Source organism: Homo sapiens, chromosome 22 (genome assembly GCF_000001405.40).
Source record: "Homo sapiens chromosome 22, GRCh38.p14 Primary Assembly".
Lineage (NCBI taxonomy): Eukaryota > Metazoa > Chordata > Mammalia > Primates > Hominidae > Homo > Homo sapiens.
In genome coordinates this window covers 21,662,574-21,679,314 of record NC_000022.11, presented here as the reverse complement: position 1 = coordinate 21,679,314, position 16,741 = coordinate 21,662,574, and the positions used below count along the sequence as shown (strand labels likewise).

At 52.0% G+C, this 16,741-nt stretch overlaps 1 protein-coding gene across 11 annotated transcripts in view, besides 4 other annotated features; it reads right to left on the bottom strand.

Annotated features, from left to right (window-relative positions):
- Positions 1-13,303, bottom strand: part of PPIL2 (peptidylprolyl isomerase like 2) — a 34,004-nt gene extending 20,701 nt beyond the window's left edge. For 9 of the 11 annotated variants that reach the window (NM_148175.3, NM_014337.4, NM_001317996.2 and 6 more), the window contains exons 1-6: positions 13,184-13,303; positions 9,353-9,402; positions 8,704-8,749; positions 8,256-8,318; positions 6,934-6,985; positions 4,200-4,251 (exon numbers count right to left, since the gene is read on the bottom strand). In NM_148175.3, coding sequence (NP_680480.1) covers positions 4,200-4,251; positions 6,934-6,985; positions 8,256-8,318; positions 8,704-8,749; positions 9,353-9,402; positions 13,184-13,215 — 295 coding nt within the window. In that variant the 5' untranslated portion in view covers positions 13,216-13,303. Of the gene's footprint in view, positions 1-4,199; positions 4,252-6,933; positions 6,986-8,255; positions 8,319-8,703; positions 8,750-8,938; positions 9,017-9,352; positions 9,403-13,183 lie in introns of those variants that run through there. The other 2 variants (XM_011530049.3, XM_047441268.1) reach the window with 2 other exon arrangements.
- Positions 4,107-4,314: a silencer, noted in NCBI's record as "fragment chr22:22029290-22029497 (GRCh37/hg19 assembly coordinates)". NCBI's record gives its function as "represses an EF-1alpha promoter that drives an FKBP-Casp9 reporter gene in an ReSE screen in K562 erythroleukemia cells {active_cell/tissue: K562}" and the evidence as "EXISTENCE:reporter gene assay evidence [ECO:0000049][PMID:32094911]".
- Positions 12,461-13,371: an enhancer, noted in NCBI's record as "H3K27ac-H3K4me1 hESC enhancer chr22:22020233-22021143 (GRCh37/hg19 assembly coordinates)". NCBI's record gives its function as "activates a minimal SCP1, AML or CMV promoter by ChIP-STARR-seq in naive and primed H9 embryonic stem cells {active_cell/tissue: H9 hESC(naive and primed)}" and the evidence as "EXISTENCE:reporter gene assay evidence [ECO:0000049][PMID:30033119]".
- Positions 12,867-12,916: an enhancer, noted in NCBI's record as "active region_18701". NCBI's record gives its function as "activates an Ori minimal core promoter by ATAC-STARR-seq in GM12878 lymphoblastoid cells {active_cell/tissue: GM12878}" and the evidence as "EXISTENCE:reporter gene assay evidence [ECO:0000049][PMID:35858748]".
- Positions 12,987-13,226: an enhancer, noted in NCBI's record as "active region_18700". NCBI's record gives its function as "activates an Ori minimal core promoter by ATAC-STARR-seq in GM12878 lymphoblastoid cells {active_cell/tissue: GM12878}" and the evidence as "EXISTENCE:reporter gene assay evidence [ECO:0000049][PMID:35858748]".

Genomic DNA, 16,741 nt, shown 5'->3' with positions numbered 1-16,741 from the left:
TTTTTTTGGTGGGGGGATGCTGACGCGGGAGGATCACTTGAGCCCAGGACTTCAAGACCAGCCTGGGTGACATAGGGAAACCTCATCTCTACAAAAATAAAAATTAAAAAAGTAGCTGGGGCTGGGCGCGGTGGCTCACACCTGTAATCCCAGCACTTTCGGAGGCAGAGGCGGGAGGATCACCTGAGGTCGGGAGTTTGAGACCAGCCTGACCAACATGGAGAAACCCCGTCTCTACTAAAAATACAAAATTAGCCAGGTGTGGTGGCACATGCCTGTAATCCCAGCCACTCGGGAGGCTGAGCCAGGAGAATCGCTTGAACCCAAGAGGCGGAGGTTGCAGTGAGCCGAGATCACGCCATTGCACTCCAGCCTGGGGAACAAGAGCGAAACTCCATCTCAAAAAAAAAAAAAAAAAAAATTGGCTGGGCATGGTAGTACATGCCTGTGGTCCCATCTACTTGGGAGACTGAGGTGGAAGGAGCACTTGGTCCTGGAAGGTCGAAGCAACAGTGCGCTCTGATCATGCCACTACACTCCAGCCTGGGCAACAGGGCAAGACCATGTCTCAAAAACAAACAAACAAACAAAAATCCTTCTGATGTGAAAACTGTTTTTTAAATTGGGGCTTCAGCATCATGCAAGGGGGTACTGGTGGGAGCAAAGACAGAACTGCACAGATGGGAGACAGCAGGGGCTGGAGTTGATGATGGGCACAGGGGAGGCGTATCACACCTCCTCACTCCACTTTCACGCACGGGGAATTCCAATTAACAAAGAAACAGGTGGGGCGCAGTGGCTCACGCCTGTAATCCCAGCACTTTGGGAGGCTGAGGCAGGTGGATCACTTGAGCCCAGGAGTTCGAGACCAGCCTGGCCAACATGGTGAAACCCCGTCTCTACAAAAAACACAAAAACTAGCTGGGTGCAGTGGTGGTGCCTGTAGTCCCAGCTACTTGGGAGGCTGAGGTGGGAGGATCTCTTGAGCCCAGGAGGCAGAGGTTGCAGTGAGCTGAGACTGTGCCACTGCATTCCAGCCTGGGTGACAGAGACCTCATTTCAAAAGAAAAAAGGAAACACAACAAAAGAAGCTGACTGCCAGGTCAAAGTTTTAAAAGAAAAAAAAAGGCTGGACCTCATTCCTCCCTCAGTGGCTCTCATCTTGGAGCGGAAGCCCAAGTCCTCCTGTGGCTCCCAGGCCCCACAGGACTGCTCTGCACACCATCCCCACCCCTGACCTCTGTCACCACATCCCCTGCTTCCACCGCTAGCACACGCTGTTCCAGCCACATTGGACTCCCAGCTGGGCACAGACACCCTTGAGCGTGCGCCCACCTCAGGGTCTTTGCACTGGCTGTGCCATCAGCCTGGCCCTGCACTCCCCCGATGCCCACACGGCTCTCCCTCCCTGCAGCGGGTCAGGGCGGCCCTCTCCCCTCCCCCTGCTGTGCTCTACACACACAAGCAGCCTCTGGCACACCCTGCTGAGCTGCTCTCTGGTGTTCTCCCCCACCAGAATGCATGCTCCTCTCATTCAGGAGAGACACAGCCTGTTGTGCTCTCTGCACATGGCAGGCACTCAATAAATATTTGCTGTCCCTCCCTCTCCCTCTCCCGCTCCCGCTCCCCAGGGTCTCCCTCTGATGCCGAGCCAAAGCTGGACTGTACTGCTGCCATCTCGGCTCACTGCAACCTCCCTGCGTGATTCTCCTGCCTCAGCCTGCCGAGTGCCTGGGATTGCAGGCGCGCGCCGCCACGCCTGACTGGTTTTCGTATTTTTTGGGTGGAGACGGGGTTTCGCTGTGTTGGCCAGGCTGGTCTCCAGCTCCTAACCGCGAGTGACCTGCCAGCCTCGGCCTCCCGAGGTGCCGGGATTGCAGACGGAGTCTCGTTCACTCAGTGCTCAATGTTGCCCAGGCTGGAGTGCAGTGGCGTGATCTCGGCTAGCTACAACCTCCACCTCCCAGCCGCCTGCCTTGGCCTCCCAAAGTGCCGAGATTGCAGCCTCTGCCCGGCCGCCACCCTGTCTGGGATGTGAGGAGCGTCTCTGCCCAGCCACCCATCGTCTGGGATGTGAGGAGCGCCTCTGCCTGGCTGCAACCCCATCTGGGAGGTGAGGAGTGTCTCTGCCTGGCCGCCCCGTCTGAGAAGTGAGGAGCCCCTCCGCCCGGCAGCCGCCCCGTCTGAGAAGCGAGGAGCCCCTCTGCCCGGCAGCCGCCCTGTCTAGGAAGTGAGGAGCGTCTCCGCCCGGCAGCCGCCCCGTCCGGGAGGGAGGTGGGGGGCAGCCCCCGCCCGGCCAGCCGCCCCGTCCAAGAGGGAGGTGGGGGGCAGCCCCCGCCTGGCCGCCGCCCCGTCCGGGAGGTAGGGGCGCCTCTGCCCGGCCGCCCCTTCTGGGAAGTGAGGAGCCCCTCTGCCCGGCTGCCACCCCATCTGGGAGGTGTACCCAACAGCTCATTGAGAACAGGCCATGATGACGATGGTGGTTTTGTCGAATAGAAAAGGGGGAAATGTGGGGAAAAGATACAGAAATCAGATTGTTGCTGTGTCTGTGTAGAAACAAGTAGACATAGGAGACTCCATTTTGTTCTGTACTAAGAAAAATTCTGCCTTGGGATGCTGTTGATCTATGACCTTACCCCCAACCCTGTGCTCTCTGAAACATGTGCGGTGTTCACTCAGGGTTAAATGGATTAAGGGCGGTGCAAGATGTGCTTTGTTAAACAGATGCTTGAAGGCAGCATGCTAGTTAAGAGTCATCACCACTCCCTAATCTCAAGTACCCAGGGACACAAACACTGCAGAAGGCCGCAGGGTCCTCTGCCTAGGAAAACCAGAGACCTCTGTTCACTTGTTTATCTGCTGATCTTCCCTCCACTATTGTCCTATGACCCTGCCAAATCCCCCTCTGTGAGAAACACCCAAGAATGATCAATAAAAAAAAAAAGAGGTTTGGAGAAATAAAAAATAAACAATAACACACACACACACACACACACACACACACAAAATAAATAAATAAATATTTGCTGAATGAGACACACACACACACACACACACACACACACACACACTGCTGATCACAGGAGGGGAGGCAGCCCACCCTCGGCCACCAGGGTGGAGCGCCGTGTCCTCCACCGACGTCAATGACGTGCTGAGGTTCACCCATTCATTCACCTGCGAATGCTGCACCGACTGGGGACCGGGCTCTGGGCTCAGACAAGCGGGGCAAAAGGGCCTTGGCCTCAGGTGCTACAGCATCTCCCTGGAATGCATGCACCCAGTAAGCAAGGACAACCCCTAAGCCATAGCATCTCCACAGGCAAAAGACCTGGACTAGAACCTAGCACAAGATCACCACCTGGGCAGGGGTGGGCTGCACAACTCATCCGGGCCTCTGGCCACAAGAACAGCGGAAGGTGTGTAATGGGCATGAAGCAGGAGCCGCAGCACTGGGCTGGGCTCTATGAGCTGTGGCAAAGAAAAGCCTAGCCCAAGAGCTACTGGACAAATCCCTCCAGACCACCCACATCCCCTACTCAGCTGCCGCCTTGGTTCCCAGCATGAGCAACTTCTGCCTCCAACAACAAACAGACCACAGCCTCAGCCAGAGGGGGCCCATGCCCTGCAGATCCAACTGTGCCCACAAAGGCCACTAGCAGCTTACAATGGCCTGATCGCCTTTGTGGGAAGTTCCCAACACCACAGGTTCTGCCCCCAACCTCCCCCACCTTAAAACTACCCAGACCTTTGAGAAGAAATCTTGTGACACCTTTTTTTTTTGAGACAGAGTCTCGCTCTGTTGCCAGGCTGGAGTGCAGTGGCACCATCTTGGCTCACTGCAACCTCTGCCTCCTGGGTTCAAGTGATTCTCCTGCCTCAGCCTCCCGAGTAGCTGGGACTACAGGCGCCCGCCACCATGCCCGGCTAATTTTTGTATTTTTAGTAGAAACGGGGTTTTACCATGTTGGCCAGGATGGTCTCAATCTCTTGACCTCGTGAACCATCCGCCTCGGCCTCCCAAACTGCTGGGTTTACAGGTGTGAGCCACCGTGCCCAGCCCTGTGACACTTTTTGCGGAATTAAAAGCAGGTGTCTAGCTTGGTCAGAAAGCAATGACTGATTCCGTATGAAAACTGGTGAGAGCTGGGCCCTTGGGTCTGCAGGTCAAGCCCAGAATTGGCTGTGATAGTTCCACTCACCCTCACTGTTCTTGGAAAAGTTCAGCTTGATCAGGGACCTCCCGTCCAGCTTCTGGAAGAAGCACAGTTAATAATTAATGATAATGAATAAGTAACTGATGCACAGAGATGCTAGGGTCAGAGACAGGCAGGAAAAGTCTCTGACTAGGCCAACCCTGTGCAGCTCTGGACAAAAGGGAAGGCCCCAAGACCCTGCAAGGACCTCACGGGGGCTGCAGGATGGCGTCGGGCAGTTGTGTTTATGTGGCACCCCCACCACGCTCTGAGAAGAGCCGTCACGGGTGACCCCGAGCAGGAGGACCAGGCCACAGGGTGGTGTGTGTTATACTTCTGCAGGGTTTGGACGTCTTTATGGTGAGCACAGATTACTTCTAAAATTAAAAAGTGAACATATTTCTTCAGCTAGAGTGGTGGGACACACAGAGTCCCTCTCTGTCACCAGGCTGGAGTACAGCGGCAACATCTCAGCTCACTGCAACCTCCCACTCCCTAGTTCAAGTGATTCTCCTGCCTCAGCCTCCCGAGTAGCTAGGACTACAGACACACGCCACCACACCAGGCTAATCTCCTGACCTCATGATCTGCCCACCTGAGCCTCCCAAAGTGCTCTGTCATATGAATATTTAAGAAAAACAAAACATTAAAAGTGGGGAGAAAGTAAGAAATACACTCCAATGCTAAGAATGGTTGTGTTGGGAAGATGGGACTCTATTTTTCTGTTTCTGGATGTTTTTTCTTTTTTCTTATTTCCCCTACCCCAGGTGGCAGGTAATGTTTTCAGTTTCTGTGGTGTGTCTGCAGTACAGCTCTTCCACAGCAAACTTTCCCATAAAACAAAGTCTGGACAACCGGAGGTGGGAACTGCTGGGGGCGGGGCTGTGGGGAGACCCTGGAAGGGAGGCAGAGCTATGTGCTGCTGGGGAGCACCTCACTCAGGGCCACAATCCAGCAGCTGCTGCCACCTGGTGTGGGCTGGGCCCAGCTATGCCTACCCAGGCCCAGGGGAGACACAGCGGGAGCCTCCTGGGGCTGGGCCCTAAGCTGGCAGCAGGTCCTTAAGCTGCCCTCCCCGCCCTCCGTGGGCCCTGCCTGCTGCTGGCCAACCCAACTGACCGCATCTGCTCCTCTAACCACCTTCGTTCCTTCCTTTGTCATTCAACTACCCCCACCTCCCTACATCACTACAGGTGTGGAGGAGACCACCAGAGGGCCAGCAGGGTCCCTATTCAGACACAGGACCTGAGCAGAGAGACTCCCCAACACAACAGGCTCCTCCTGAGCCCCCAAAAGTCACATGGGCCAGCCAGCCCTTGGCCCAGGAACTCTCCTCAGAGGTTTGGCTAGCAAGGCTCTGCTGACACCCATAGGTCTGGCCAAGCAAGCACACAGCAAGGTCCCTTCCAGAGCAGGCCAAGGGAGAGGCGCAGGCACAGGATAAAGACGTGTAGGGCGCTCCTGCAGACTCACCCCAACATGATGCCTGGAACAAAGAAATGGCCACACCTCCCTGATGTAAGCCCTAACAGCGTGGCTAACTGCCAGATCAGACTTTGTGGGTGTGGGGGCCAGCACAATCGACAAGTTTGGGAACCCCAAAGAGTACCTGTGAAGCAAAACACCCAAAGTAGCAAAATGCATCCCAGCTGCAACCAAATGACAGAATCCACTGGGACAGCAGGGGCCATGAGGGCAGCTGTGGACAGGAAAACCCCACCTACCCCCACCTTGCCACCAGGCTGCTCCCTGAGGCCGACACCCAGCCACACAGGGCACAGGCAGGCAGCAGGGACCTCTGCTGAGAAGAGCAACAGAGAATGACTTCCCAGACTGGGGCACGGACCTTGGGGGAAGCCCCTGGGATCCAATGTGGCTCCCAGCAGCAGACATCACAGAAACAGTCTTCAAGTGACAAAGACCAAGGAAGAAGAGTGCCCTCCCTAAGGAGGTGAGGCCACAAGCCCCCTACCCAAGCATTTGAAAGAGAAAAGCCACGGGCTTTAGTCGCTGGTCCAAGAACACTCAAAAACCAGCCCCCTGGCCAAGTTCCCCTTGTACTGGAGAGCAGGGAAGCCTTGGAGGAGCACCAACTCCATCTACAAAGAGTCCCCAGAACCCTGCAGCCCCCAGAACACCACAAGGGCCAGAAGAGCTGAGACAGATGGGCTGCCAGCTTCTCCTGCTGGCCCGGTAGGGAGGGTCATATTGTCCAGGGAGCTCCCTCCCAGCGGCTCCAGCACAGGGAGCCCACCGGAGTCCCGACCCTCCGTCTCGCACAGTTTGAGCTCTTGCCCCAGGCCATAGGAAAGAGGTGGAGGAATACATGCAAGTAATTCCAACAGGAAGGGCAAGGTCACTGGTAAAATACACTAGATCTCCCTCGGAACCAGGCTGCATAATGTCCCCACAAAACTGATGCTCACTGGGAACCTGTGAATGTGGCCTGACTTGGATATAATCAAAGGTTTATATAGGGTCTTTGCAGATAGAATCAAGTTAAGACGAGGTCACAGCTATGGCCCAAGAAAAGACATGCACATATATACACGTGCACAGGCCGGAAGCATTTCTGGAAAAGAATGGGTGTGGGGAGAGGAGGGGAAGACTGTCCCTCCTCACTGGGCCCCATGAACGGTTCTCTCCCATGTTCCTGTGTTCATGAAAACCACCAGAACAAAAGGAGAAGTGAGAGGATAGCATTCACTAGCATCACTGAAACTCCTGCACAGCCACCTACCTCTCCATTGCTGGGGTTGGTCCCGTACTTCTTAAGCCATGGAACAATGTTCCTGAAGGGAAGACAGAACAGAAAGCATCACCAGGGTGCTTAGGCGCCACCTGGTAACAACACTGTGGTCTTGCAGGGCTGCTTCCAGGTTAGAGGCCTGTGAAGGGGTCTTGCTTCACTTTAGGAGAGGAAGAGCTCCTCATCTTGTCTCAGGAAGTTGGGGGATATTTGTGGATACATAGGTTTCAAAATATGTTCAGAGTTATTACTGTAGTTATGTATAAACAACAAAAACTACAGGTGAAAATGAGTAAGTAAATGGTTTGGGTTTTTTTTCTTTGAGACAAGGTTTCGCCTTGTCACTCAGGCTGGAGTGCAGTGTTTCAGTCATGGCTCACTGCAGCCTCCAACCCCTGGGCTCAAGCGATCCTCCCACCTCAGCTTCCAAGTAGCTGGGACTACAGGTGCACACCACCATGGCTGGCTAATTTTTGCACTTTTTTGTAGACACAGGTTCTCACCATGTTGCCCAGGCTGGTCTCAAACTCCTGGGTTCAAGAGATCCTCCTGCCTCAGCCTCCCAAAGTGCTGGGACTACAGACATAAGCCACCACTCCGTCATAAATGTTGATACATCTGTATAATTAAATACTAAGCTAGCATCAAAAACTATACTTTCAAGCCAGGCATGGTGATGGTGTGTGCCTGAAATCTCAGCTACTCAGGAGGCTGAGGTGGAAGGACTGCTTCAGCGCAGGAGTTCAAGACCAGCCTGGGCAACATAGTGAGACCCTGTCTCAAATAAAAAAAAAAGAAAAGAACAAAGAAAAACTATACTTTCAGAGAATTCTGAATCACACGGGGAAAAAAGCTCTCATCACAACCAAGTGAATAAATAGATCCACAGAGTGTTACCTGTCAACACTTCACAGTGTTCACAGTGTTATCTCAATCATGTTACTACAAATAAGTTCACAAAAAATTAGCATATTTACAGTGGTTATCTTGGATAGTGGGACTGTGGTAAAATTTTCTTTTTCTAAAATAAGGCTGAAATTTCCTAAAAATTCATTTTCAGGCCAGGTGCAGTGGCTCATGCCTGCACTTGGAGGGGTAGGGGGTGGTCTACCCCATTCCAGGCAGTGACAGCAGTACCTGACAACTAGAGCTGCCTGCCCAAGGGTCACAGCAGCATTGCTGCCATGTCCCCAAGGCCCTAGCTGTTACTTCTGTGTGCCCAAGAGCCCTACCCAAGGGTACCAAGGGTCCCCTTCCTTAATGGGTGTTGAGAATCTCACATTTGTTAGATCAAAATTCAAGGAAAAACTCACAGTAAGTCAAAGACGATGCCATCGGGAGTGCAGACTGGGTAGACAAAGGGCTGCAGAGAGAGACTGAAAAAGGACAGTCATTCCTGGTGAGTTGCCACGCACCCTGGTCAGGATGTGGGCTGGCTGAGACTGGCATGGTGACCTCCTGAAATGCTGTCCCAGGGAGCCCTCTCTGGGCAGCCTGGCCACCTCCCTCTCTCACCAACCTTCTCCTCCAACTACAATAGTGTTTGTGCCACCCCTGGTGAAGGTCTAGAGCAGGATCCAACACCAAGGCAAGCTCCTAACATCATGACGAGGACTCTGCATCTTCTCCCAACATGAACTGAAGGGCCACATCTTCAAGGCACACTTTTACGCATAACCCCACATCCACAAGGGGCAGATTCACTATCAGACAGGATCAGAGAACAATTACAAGGGAAAGGTAAACTCGCAAAACTCTTACCTGCAGTGGTCAAAAGGTAAACGACGAAAATTTGTTTGTGGGAGATCTGTTTAAAAATGAAATAAAAAACAGAAATCTTACTCTGTAAAGTATTTCATCTATGTGCACCTGCTAGCAATTCAGTTACAGCTTATGAAAAAGTTCATGCAAATTTTTAAGTACAGCAATTGCTGTGGATTAAAAACCTTTTAACAGATAAACCAAAACACTTGGGGTACATCAAAAAAGAACTTACTGGGAAAAGTGCATACTTTTTACTTCCATTAAAATTATGACAGTGCTCTTGTTATTGTAGTCTTGATAGTTTTGACAGCTGAAAATATTATCATTCTTTTTATTCCTTATAAACTTGATAGAGAAAAAACATTTAAATGTACATGTAATTTTGTATTTCATTTACTTATTTATTTTTTACTTAGCTCCCAGCATCGGGGAATATTTTAAATTACATTTTACAAAAATCACCACTAAGATGAAGCAGGTTCTTCTATCTTGAGTATATTTCTCTTTCATGAACTGTGTCCTCAGCCCATTCGTCTACCATAGTTTCCGTGTTCTTGTTGTCTATTTTTACAGCTCACTGTATCCTGAAGACACAGTTCCTTAATACCACTCCCCCAACGGGGAACAGAAAGACTGCATGCCTTACCTGGCTTCTTGCCACCATAAAAGTGAGTGTATTCAGCACAGGTAATGTACCTGAAGAAGAGAGGAAGATAATGCTACCACCACCACCTTTATAAAGAGGACGAAGTCTTTGGAAGTGAGTAATCTTTGCTTACTCAGCAAATGCTTACTAAATACCTACTATGGGGCGGGCACGGTGGCTAACGCCTGTAATCCCAACACTTTGGGAGCCCGAGGCAGGCGAATCACTAGAGGTCAGAAGTTTAAGACAAGCCTGGCCAACATGGTGAAACCACGTCTCTACTAAAAATACAAAAATTAGCTGGGCATGGTGGTGGGTGCCTGTAATCCCAGCTACTCGGGAGGCTGAAGCAGAGAATTGCTTGATCCCGGGAGGCGGAGGTTGCAGTCAGCCAAGATCACACCACTGTACTCCAGCCTGGGTGACAGAGTGAGACTCTGTCTCAAAAAAACAAACAAACAAAAAAACACCTACTATATGTCAGCCACACAGTGATAAACACAACAGACATGGAGACCAGGCACAGTGGCTCACACCTATAATCCCAACAGTTTGGGAGGCCAAGGCAGGAAGATTGCTTGAGTCCAGGCGTTGGAGAACAGCTGGGGCAACAAAGCGAGAATCTGTCTCTACAAGAAAATTTAAAACTTAGCCAGGTGTGACAGCTCACACCTGTGGTCCCAGCTACTCCAAAGACTAAGGCAGGAAGGCAGGTTGAGGCTGCAGTGAGCTGTGACAGCACCACTACACTCCAGCCTGGGGGACGGGGGAGACTCTGTCTCAAAAACAAACAAAACAAAAAACAAAAAAAACCGGCCGGGCAAGGTGGCTCACGCCTATAATCCCAGCACTTTGGGAGGCCAAGGCGGGCAGATCACGAGGTCAGGAGATGGAGACCATTCTGGCTAACACGGTGAAACCAGTCTCTACTAAAAAAAAAAAAAAAATAGAGGGCCAGGCACGGTGGCTCACACCTGTAATCCCAGCATTTTGGGAGGCCGAGGCGGGCGGATCACCAGGTCAGGAGATGGAGACCATCCTGGCTAACACAGTGAAACCCCGTCTCTACTGAAAATACAAAAAATTAGCCGGGCGTGGTGGCAGGCGCCTGTAGTCCCAGCTACTCGGGAGGCTGAGGCAGGAGAATGGCATGAACCCGGGAGGCGGAGCTTGCAGTGAGCGGAGACCATGCCACCGCACTCCAGCCTGGGCGACAGAGCGAGACTCCGTCTCAAAAAAAAAAAAAAATGGTATCTTATTGCCACAAAGAGTCTGTTTTGTCAATCTTATGATTTCTATTTCTTTATTTTTATTTATTTTATTTATTTTTTTTTTGAGACGGAGTCTTGCTCGCTGCCCAGGCTGGAGTGCAGTTGTGCAATGTCGGCTCACTGCAAGCTCCACCTCGTGAGTTCACGCCATTCTCCTGCCTCAGCCTCCCGAGTAGCTGGTACTACAGGCGCCTGCCACCACGCCCAGCTGATTTTTTTGTGTATTTTTAGTAGAGATGGGGTTTCACCGTGTTAGCCAGGATGGTCTCGATCTCCTGACCTGGTGATCCACCCGCCTCAGCCTCCCAAAGTGCTGGGATTACAGGTGTGAGCCACCGTGCCTGGCCCCTTATGATCTCTATTTCAACATTAATGCTGGTCAGTTGTTGTGTCTAAGCCACAAAAGGGAGGGGGATATAACAAGGCACAGCTGATCTCTATCCCATCATGGCCAGGAACTCAGTTTTAAGGTTTTCCTGGGGTTCTCTTGGCCACAAGGGTGTCTGCTTAGCCAGTGGGGGGACTTAGGGTTTTATTTTTAGTTTACAGGGAGGAGCAGGCTCAAGAGCTGAAAATCAAGAGTTCTGTTTAAGGCATATTAAATTCGAGATGTCTGGCCCGGCACGGTGGCTCACGCCTGTAATCCCAGCACTTTGGGAGGCAGAGGTAGGTCGATCACTCGACGTCAGGAGTTCGAGACCGGCCTGACCAACATAGTGAAAACCTGTCTCTACTAAAAATACAAAAATTAGCATGGGCATGGTGGCAGGCACCTATAATCCCAGCTACTGGGGAGGCTGAGGTGGGAGAATTGCTTGAATGTGGGAAGTAGAGGTTGCAGTGAGCCAAGACGGCACCATTGCACTCCAGCCTGGGCGACAGAGCAAGACTCCATCTCAAAAAAAAAAAAAAAAAAAAAAAAAAAATTTGAGATGTCTTTCAGTCCTCCAGTGGAGATATTAAGTAAGCCACTAACTACACAAGACTGGGGAAAGCAGCTTATAGATGACTGGGAAATTATATCACCCACAGAGAATGTTTATGGAAAAGAAACGTATGAGATCTGAGAGAAGGGAGGAGGGTCCAGAAAGGAGACTGGGAAAAGAAAGACCGCTGAAGTCGATGGAAAACAAAGAGCATGTGAAATCCCAGATACCAAAGAAGGGCTTCAGAAGGAGGGAGTGGTCAACAGTGGGACATACTGTTGAGAAGCCCAACAAAATGAGGACTGAGGCTGCCCAGACGCGGTGGCTCACGCCTGTAATCCCAGGACTTTGGGAGGCCGAGGCAGGTGGATCACCTGAGGTCAGGAGTTCGAGACCAGCCTGACCAACATGGAGAAACCCCTTCTCTACTAAAAATACAAAATTAGCTGGGCATGGTGGCGTATGCCTGTAATCCCAGCTACTCGGGAGGCTGAGGCAGGAAAATCTCTTGAAGCCGGGAAGCGGAGGTTGCGGTGAGCCAAGATCTCACCATTGCACTCTAGCTTGGGCAACAAGAGCGAAACTGCGTCTCAAAAAAAAAAAAAAAAAAAAATGAGGACTGAGGATTGAATACTATATTTAGCAACAAGAAGTCGCTGGGAACCTGAAAAGAGAGGCCGCTGAAGTCGAGAGAAAACAAAGAGCAGGTGAAATCCCAGATACCAAAGGAGGGCTTCAGAAAGAGGGAGTGGTCAACGGTGTGACATACTGTTGAGAAGCCCAACAGTTCTGGGGTCGAAATTCTGACTTGAGTGGTTTCAAGAGACTCAGAAAACAGCATGAAGCCACTAGTCTCTCACTTGTTCTTAAGAGAAACAACACGGCGGCAGCGGGAGGGGAACGTGGGACGTGGGGCACGGGGCACGGGTGGATTTTTAAATTTTATTTATTATTTTTGAGACAGCGTCTCGCTCTGTCGCCCAGGCTGGAGTGCAGTGACACGATCTCGGCTCACCGCAACCTCCGCCTCCCGGGTTCAAGCGATTCCCCTGCCTCAGCCTCCCAAATAGCTAGGATTACAGGCGCCCGTCACCACGCCCCGCTAATTTTTGTATTTTTAGTAGAGACGGGGTTTCACCGTATTAGCCAGGCTGGTCTTGAACTCCTGACCTCAGGTGATCCGCCCGCCTCGGCCTCCCAAAGTGCTGTGATTACAGGTGAGCCACTGCGCCCGACCTGGTTTGCTTTAAATTAGAAGGCTCTGCAGCACGTTTGCAGGCTGATAGGCATGAACCAGAACACAGCGAGACGTGAAGTACGGAAGAGGTAGAGACTACTCATTCAAGGGCGAAACTCGCGAACAGACGGGGGACGGTCCGGGCAGAACCAGAGTAAGGAAAACCGGGCTGCGCTCGAGCCCGCAGCTGACGTCATCGGAGCCGCGGCCCCGGGAGAGCGCGGCGGCCCGAGGGTCATTACCCTGACTGGAGACAGGGCGGCAGCTTCCGGGAGGAAGTGACCTTTGGGCTGTGCTCTGGGGAGTAGCTGAGAGGGAAGGCGAGCGGCGCGCAGTGCGGGACAGGCGGTTCACTGAGGCAGAGTGGAGCGCCGCTCCCGACTGCGGCTCAACTTACATTTTGTCCTTTTGGTGCTGTCGCTTCCCCATGGCGGAGCGGCGGCGGCGACTAGCGAGCACGAAAAAACAACGGCTGACAACTCAGACCATGGAGCCGCAGCCGAGTTCCGTGACCACTTCCGGGTTCCGCGGCGCGCCCCGGAAACGGGCGCCTGGCGTGCTGGGAATTGTGGTTCGCTAGCGCCAGGTGCTCATGCTCGGAAGGATCGCCTGCCCAGTATGGGGTCCTAGCTAGGTGTGCCATCTCCCGCAGGCGTCTTTTCGGGGCCGAGCTCCCTCAGCCTCGAAGCCCCATCTTCTTGAGGGGTCTGTCTGGACCGCCTTGTCTACCCCCCTAGCCACGGCTCAGGGCCATTCCCATACTGGGTTCTCAGGTCTTATTTATTTATTTTCGAGACAGGGTCTCGCTCTGTCGCCCAGGTTGGAGTGCAGTGGCACAATCACAGCTCACTACTGCCTCGACCTCCCAGGCTCAAGCGATTCTCCCACCTCAGCCTCCCGAGTAGCTACGGGCACGCACCACCACACCCGGCTAATTTGTTAATTTTTTGTAGAGACAGGCTCTTACAATGTTGCCCAGGCTGGTCTGGAGCTCTTGAGCTCAAGCAGTCCTCCCGCCTTGGCCTCCCAAAGTGCTGGGATTACAGGCCTGAGGCTTCGCGCCCGGCCAGCGCTCAGGTCTTTTTCAACGTCCTCCTAGAGCTTCAAGTCTCATGAGCCTCCACCCCATCCCTTCCCGCCTCCGTGGCAGATGCCTTCAAAGCCATGTACCACTCTCGTTCTACTCGCTCACTTCTCATTCTCTCTGCATATTCGGTCCCCACCGCCTCCAGGCCCCTCGGAGGCCCAGCAGCAGGTGGCCATCAAGCCTAGAGGTCCAAAGCCCTACCTGATCCCTTCCGTCTCTTCTGCCAGACCCTTCCCTTGGGTCAGATCAGTACCTTGGGCCCCTAGCTACACTCAGGCCCAGGGTAATCTTGCCTAGGCTCCTAATTTTAAATGCCATTTGTATCCCATGACTCCCAGTACTAAGTCACCAGCACTCCAGGTTCCTGATCTCCACTTGGGTAACCACTGATCTGAAATGTAACATGTCTGGATGGGCGTGGTGGCTCACGCCTGTAATCCCAGCACTTTGTGTGTGTGTGTGTGTGTGTGTGTGTGTGTGTGTTTAGTAGAGACGGGGTTTCACCATGTTAGCCAGGATGGTCTCGATCTCCTGACCTCCTGATTCGCCTGCCTTGGCCTTCCAAAGTTCCGGGATTACAGGCGTGAGCCACCACGCCCGGCCAATCCCAGCACTTTGAGAGGCTGAGGCAGGCGGATCACTTGAGGTCAGGAGTTCAAGACTAACCTGGCCAACATGGCAAAACCCCATCTCTACTAAAAATACAAAAAATTAGCCTGGTGTGGTGGCACACACCTGTAATTCCAGCTACTTGGGAGGCCGAGACAGTAGCTTGAACTGGGGAGGCAGAGGTTGCCGTGAGCCAAGATTAGGCCACTGCATCCCAGCCTGGGTGACAGAGTGACTCTGCCTAAAAAAATTAAATTAACATGTCTGGTCAAAGTAGAATTTTCTTTTTTTTTTTCTTTTTTTTTTTGACATGGAGTTTTGCTCTTGTTGCCCAGGCTGGAGTGCAATGGTGTGATCTTGGCTCACTGCAACCTCCGCCTCCCAGGTTCAAGCGATTCTCCTGCCTCAGTCTCCCAGGTAGCTGGGATTATTACAGGCATGCGCCACCACGCCTGGCTAATTTTGTATTTTTAGTAGAGAAGGGGTTTCTCCATGTTGGTCAGGCTGGTCTCGAACTCCCGACCTCAGGTGATCCTCCCGCCTCAGCCCTCCCAAAGTCCTGGGATTACATGCATGAGTCACCGCACCCGGCCATAAAGCAGAATTTTCAATCCTCCCTCTTCTCCCAGTCCCCACTCTGCTGAGCAGTACCACCATCCACCCAGTCACCGAAAGCCAGCTATCTTTGCCTTATTTCATGGCTGGCTTCTTATTCTCTAGGTTTTAACATAAGTGTCACCTCCCCAGAGAGACCTTCCCTAACCACCCACTTCCATGCATCTCCCATAAAGTCTGTCACAATTCCTCACAATTTGTAATCCTGTGTAATTCAGTCTGTGTCCCGGTTTACTGAGCACCCTCCCTGACACAACCACTGCCTCCATGACACACATACAGTGGATGGGATGTAGCTCCTTAAGGGCTGGAATCTTAGGCCCAGCATGGTGGCAGCACCTGTGATTCCAGCTACTTGGGAGGCTGTAGTGGAAGGATCACTTGAGGCCCAGGAGTTTGAGGCTGCAGTAAACTATGATCAAGCCACTGCACTCTAGCCTGGGCAACAGAGTGAGATCCTGTCTCTTTAAAAAAGGGCCGGGGTGTGGGGAGGGGACAGTCGGTGCGGTGGCTCACGCCTGTAATTCCAGCACTTTGGGAGGCTAAGGCGGTTGGATCACCTGAGGTCAGGAGTTCGAGACCAGCCTGGCTAACATGGTGAAGCCCTGTCTCTACTAAAAATACAAAAATTAGCTGGGCGTGGTGGCATGTGCCTGTGATCCCAGCTCCTCAGGAGGCCTGAGGCATGGTGATCGCTTGAACCTGGGAGGCAGAGGTTGCAGTAAGCTGAGATCGCGCCACTGCACTACAGCCTGGGCAACAGAGCACAACTCTGTCTCTAAATAAGCAAGCAAACAAATAAATACAAACCAATTAAAAATAACCCATTTGTGGTGATGCACCATGATGACTCAGTCAGAAAGCAAAATGCACCAATAACCTAAAAATTGACCCCATTGGAGAAATATTTCAAAAAGCAAGAACAGTTGAGTAAATGATGTTCCACCCGTTTGATGGAATATTTTGTATCTATTGTTATTGGTGAACTTAAAGATTTATTATTATTATTATTATTATTATTATTATTACTTTTTATTTTTTGAGATGGAGTCTCGTACTGTTGCCCAGGCTGGAGTACAGTGGCGTGATCTCGGCTCACTGCAAGCTCCACCTCCCGGGTTCAAGCAATTCTCCTGCCTCAGCCTCCCGAGTAGCTGGGACTACAGGTGCCTGCCTCCACCCTCTGGGCTCAAGAGATTCTCCCACTCACGCCTCCCAAGTAGCTGGGACTACAGGTGCGCACCAACATGCCTGGCTAATTTGAATACCTGAGCTCAAGTGATCCCCCACCTCACTCCTCCCAAATTGCTGGGATTACAGTAGTGCACCACCACGCTCGGCCAGAATTCTGAATTGTCTTTTTATAAAACAGTGTGAGTTCCTTACACAAAAAGTCCTCTGAATTCTTTTTTTTTTTTTTAAAGACAGAGTCTCACTTTGTCGCCAGGCTGGAGTTCAGTGGCACGATCTTGGCTCACTGCAACCTCTGCCTCCTGGGTTCAAGCGATTCTTCTGCCTCAGCCTCCCAAGTAGCTGGGACTGCAGGCATGAGCCACCACGCCCTGCTGATTTTTGTATTTTTAGTAGAGACAGGGTTTCACCATGTTGGCCAGGATGGTCTCCATCTCTTGACCTCGTGATCCG